Below are 6,000 nucleotides of genomic sequence, written 5' to 3'. Positions count from 1 at the left end.
ATGCTATGTAAACAGTTGTTACACTATATTTTTTATTTGTATTATTTTTATTGTTGTATTGTTATATTTTAATGTTTGTTATTTCCAAATGTTTTTAATTCATGGTTGGTTGAATCTGTGAATGCAAAATCCATGGATATGGAGGGCTGAATGTACACACACACACACACACACATTCATAATTTTCAAAGTCCACAGTAAGTATCAAGCAGTGTGTGTTTACCTGCATGTGTATGTGAATTAACTCTGTTCCTGAGGCAGTTTTATTTCCCTCCAATGGATTCTACTTTATTTCTTAATGTCAAGAAATGGCTTATCTCTATCTGAGTACCTGTACTTCCTTTCTCTGTCTCTCTCTGCTGTCTCTGTCTCTGTCTCTGTCTCTCTCTATCTTAGTGTTTGTGTGGGTGAGAGATCGCCATTCTGCCTGCACCACTCAAAATGCAGCTCTCCTAACTAAAAGACTGTATTATTCACGGAGGTCTCAAACGAAAATGTTTCTCCCATTGGACAGAAATGAGAATGCCCTGGCACTTCTCATATAACACCACTTAATATATTCTTTCAATTGCAACAGTTTAGAATTATTATTGATAAATAATTCTAATACCATTTAGTGTCCAATAACATATTAGGGAAACATGATAATTTACCACATCCTCTCTGTATTCTTGTTCATTTATTTTTCATTCTGTCGTACTCTGTACCTTTTTATAGGCCACTTCAATTTGTTTTTTACTAGAGCTGGAAACATGTTACTTCTCCTATGAACCAGCCAAGTTTTTATGTGCTTATTATGGATTCAACATACCCCTCTTCTCAATTCACAACAAATGGCTCCTCTCTATCTGAGATAGAGCAAGTTGAAGTCCTATCCCTCCAGTACTGTACTTTACAGTGTGAAGGCTTGGGACAGATTCTCTTCCACAGCCCCCAGAAGGAACCAATCCCACTGACACCTTAATTTTATACTTCTAACATCTATAACTGTGAGACAATAAATTTTTGTTGTTTTCAGCCACTAAGTTTGAGGTGATTTGTTCTGGCAGTCCTAGGAAACTAATACAGTGCCTCTATTAAAACAATTCATCTTGTTTACTCCAGTTTTGTTTTTTTTTGGCATATCTGTTTCAGACTGGACTATGTACTTATCAAGAGAAATGACCTTATCTGTCATATACTTCACTCTGTGGTATTTATGTGAGGGACATAAAATGTAAGATATGATATGCTATGTAAGATATGATACCTGCCTTAAAATCCAGTGTTTATTCATCAAATTTTTATTGAGTGCCTGATGTAATTATGTAACAGCCACTCCTCAGGATACTGGTCATACAACGGTGAGCACAGAGATGATGGTCTCCTCTCTCGTGGAGCAAACAGTCTGGAAAATTGTGGGGTGGGGGGGACATTAAAAACACAATCAAAAGGAAAATAATTGCACAAAAATAATTGTCAAGCAGGAGAAAAACATCTGTATGTAAAGAAGAGGAAGCAGCGATCGTTCTTGGCCATGGGATGATCTGGAAAGGCTTCTAAAAGGGGCAGTAGATTTTAATAAACAGCACACAGAGAGAGAATATTTCCTTGTGAAGAAGAGAATGGGGAAGGACCCCTGGGTCATTAGTAGTTCATTTGCCTGGAGCATAGAGAAATAGAGTAAGTAGAGTAATCATGGCAATAGTTTTTTGGGTGTTTTTAAATTGCTTACTAAGTATCAGCCTTACATTATCTCATTTACCTTCACATTTTTTTGACGTAGGCTGTTGTCATCCCAATTTACAGATAAGGTTGTTGAGTTTTCCTTAACCATAGCTTTATACTTATTATTATACTATACTACCTGTCACTCAGATTTATTCCTAGGGATAACTATAATTTGAAATGAGATCTCTGACTCCACAGGCTCTGTTTTTTTTTTCATTCCACAACAGAGAATTATTCCCTAAAATGCAGAGTCAGAAAGATAGGTTGCAGGCAGATTTTAGAATACTTCTATTACAAAGGCTATAAAAATATACTTTACAGTAAACAAAGGGGAAAATCAAATGTCTGCAAAGTAGTAACATGATACATGCTAAAACATTGAAATAGGAAAAAATATTGGGGGAAGTAGGATTCCTTAGCACTTACTAAAGGAAAGATCCAGATAAGAAATGTAAATGTACCAGGCTTGGTGTCTCACACCTGTAATCCCTGCACTTTGGGAGGCCGCAGCTGGTAGATCACTTGAGGCCACGAATTTGACACCAGCAGGGCCAACATGGTGAAATCCCATCTGTATTAAAAATATAAAAATTAGCCAGGCCTAGTTGCATGCACCTGTAATCCCAGCTACTCAGGAGGCTGAGGCAGGAGAATCGTTTGAACCCGGGAGGTGGAGGTTGCAGTGAGCCGAGATTGTGCCACTGCACTTCAGCCTAGTCGACAAAGTAAGACTCTGTCTCAAAAACACACACACAAAAAAAACAACAAGTTATGTAAATCCATCGTCAGAATGACTTAGTGTGAACAAGAAGCATCTCAGTTGTCTGCTAAAAATTCCTGCTTCTTCGCAATGAGAATATTGAAAAATCTCTCTTCAAGGTGGTGGATAAATTACCTCAATTTGATCATTACACAATGCACCCATTTAAACACATATCGAAACATCAGATTGTACCCTATAAGTATGCACAATTATTATGTGTCAATTATATTTTTGTTTAAATTCTACTTCCAGTCACCACCCCAGAGGACTGCTGACGTGAGGAGGTTTTAGACAATATTCTGTTCTGGCCTAGCCAAGGGATTAGGGAGGCAATGTAAGCCAAACTTCCTTTTTCACAGCAAGCTCTTGGACTGCAGGGATCACATTTCATTCATCTTTTTATTCCCTTTTCCCCTAAGTCCCAGACCCTTGCTCATAATAAGCATGTGGATGACTTGAACTGAATTGTAAGAGTGAAAGACTCTTGTGAAAGAAGAATCATTAAGACTGTGTGAATTTAAAAAGAGAACGAATTCAAGAGAACATGCTTTGTAAGTCTGGGAAAGAGAACGTGCAGGGTACAAGGGCGGTAACATGTGACCAAGAAGAGAAGAGTAAAATGAACTCACTAGCCAATTACATTCCAGTGATCTGCTACTTAGAATGCATGACTGAACTCCTGGGTGGTCTTATAGCCACTGGGTACTTTTTTTCTGCCAGACTTTGAAAGCACTTTGAAGACAGGGTGTCATCTAAAGGTTGGTGATTTGTATTGAGTTCCCCCACCCTAGAACTGGCAGGCACCATTCTCTTTGATAAATATCATAGGAAGAAATCAGAGAATTGTATTTTCCATTGAAATAGTTGGAAGATATATAGAGAAGCCTAATGTGGTTTTCTGAGTTGGAAATTTGCTAGGACATAGGGATGTGAATGCCCATCTTCTCAAAAGACATCCTGTAGATGCCAATAGATCTGAGCAGCAGGATGGAATGTATCAAAATAAATGGCAGGATTATCCAGTGCTGGAGCCCTTATTTAAGAAGCCCATATTAATTGAACTGAACATAGTTGGCATTCCAACAAATATATGCTGAAAGAAAAATAGCAAAAACAACTTAGGGGATATGTTCTCTCAAGTGGTTTATAATTTGTTTCCTAACCTTCTGTCACTGAACCTGGCTGGATATGGAAAGGTCCATTCTACTTTCATTCTACTTCAGCTACTCAGATCTTAGTTGTACCCTAGAACTTTTCATGATGGATAATTGTACCCTTCTATACTTTTCATTTAAACCATGTCACTCACCAATAATCACCTACATTTTCAGCTAATTGCCTCTAGTGCCTTGGCTCCAAACATTCTTTGACCCCACTGTATTTACACTTTTCCTCATTCCTTTATACCACTAAAATTTGCAGTCCCCTTCTTACTTAGCTAATATTTTACAATCTCTCCCACAAACACCCTCAAATAGCCTTGCATCTCTCTTCTTCATTGTGTTACTTTTGTAAAATCCAGGCCCTATTTAAATACAATGTTCCATGTATTCTGTGCCTGAACCTATGCAGCTGATGTAGCTGAAGCAAAGCAGGGGTATTGGCTGGCCTCACTTTAAATTCTTCATCCTTAATTGGAAATGTATCTTCATACTCCCTGGTAATTCTACTTTACATATTTTTACACCTATTACTTTTCCTGAACTTCCAATACTGCCTCGCTCCTCTTCATTTTGGTTTATGAACCTGGCTTCCTATTTCACTGGGGAAATAGAAGTAATCAGTAATAACTCGCATGTCTTTTCACCACCACATCGACCAGCCCATCCTATCTGTACATGTTTATTGTCTCTTTCTTCCTGTTCTTACTTGAGCTGTACATGCTCCTATCTGATCACACTTATGCACAGGGTCTCATTCATTCTCTTTCACTTCAGCAATTAGACTCTTCCTTAAAAAATAATTTTCTGTCTCAACTTGATTATTCCCACAATAGTGCAAACATGTTGTAATACCTTTTTTCTTTAAAATAACCCATTTTCTTTAAAATAATTTCCAACTATCAACTGATTCCTCTGTTTCTCTCTATATAAAATTCCTTAAAAGAGATTTCTTATGTTGCTTCTCTCCCTTTTCTCTCTTCCCATTCTCATTTGAATCTACTTCAAAAGGTTTACCATACTAAGAAAAAAAGCTCTTCTCAAGATTACCTATGGTTTCCATAGTGCTAAATTCAGTGATAAATTTAGTCTTTGTCTTAATCAGCCTCTCAGTATCTTTGATTCAGCGGGTAATTATCTCCTTCTTAAAATACTTTCTTCACTTGACTTCTGGGAGCTACTCTCAGTTTTCCTATTCACTTTAGATGTTCCCCTAAGCTCTGTTTACTCATTTATCTCATCCCTCCACTGGAGTTCACTGGAGTTCAGTCCTTAGATCCTTTCTCTATCAGCATTCACTCACAAGGTGATATCACATAGCCTTTGAATAGTATCTGAATATTGATGATGGTCAAATGTTATTTCCCCTGAACTCGAGATTCTATTCAACTCCTACTAGACATCCTTACCTGCACAATTAATAGACACATCAAATTTAATATATCCTAAGTTGGACTCTTGATGTCCTGCTCCTCCAAACCTGGTCCTCTTGCACATTTTCTATCTCATTAAATGTCTATTTCTTCCCATTGCCTAAGCAATTCAGAGTCACTCTCGAAGTGACTTTTCTCATTTCCCCATGCATATTCGATCCATCAGTTGTGTTAATTATGCCTTTTAAATGTGTCAAGAATCTAATTACTCCTCTTCCACTGCTAACTTTTGTTGAAATGACCATCAGCTGTCTCTTGGATAAATACAATCCTTTACTTTTGGTATTTCTGATTCAGCATTTGCTTCCTTATTATCCGTTCTGAACATAGCATCTGGGTCAGAGGTCTTGTCACCCTCTGTGTCCCAAAGTCTACAGTGATTCCCACCACCCTCCTTATCAAGGCTAACAAGGCCCTACATGATCTGGTCCCCACTTCTTTTCAGACCTAATTTCTTCTACTTTTTTCAGGCTTCACTCATTAGCCACACTGTCCTCCTTGGTGTGCTTCCACTCTTAGCACATTCCCAGCAAAGGCCTTTTGTTCTGATTGTCCCTCTTCTTGGAGCTCTCTTCCTTAAATATCTGCAAAATATCTGCTTATCTTCTTCCATCACATCCTTCAGGCCTTTCCTCAAATGCCAATTTCTCAGGAAGGTTTTCCCTGGCAACCGTATCTAAGATTACGCTTTCCTACCCCAGCACTATCTAACCCCATCCCTGCACAGTTCTCTTCCTATTTACAGCCATCTAACCTACTACATATGTGACATATCTATGTATTGACTGTTTTCCCCTCTAGAATATATGTACAATGAGGGCATGGATTTTGTTCACTGTTTCATTTCCAGCACCATAAAGAGAACCTGATATATAGAAGACCCTATATAAGTAACAATTGAATACTTAAAGGCAGGCAACTCTGGGGTTTCTTC

Source organism: Homo sapiens, chromosome 11, assembly GCF_000001405.40.
Source record: "Homo sapiens chromosome 11, GRCh38.p14 Primary Assembly".
Classification (NCBI taxonomy): domain Eukaryota; kingdom Metazoa; phylum Chordata; class Mammalia; order Primates; family Hominidae; genus Homo; species Homo sapiens.
Note: the sequence above shows the minus strand (reverse complement) of the source record.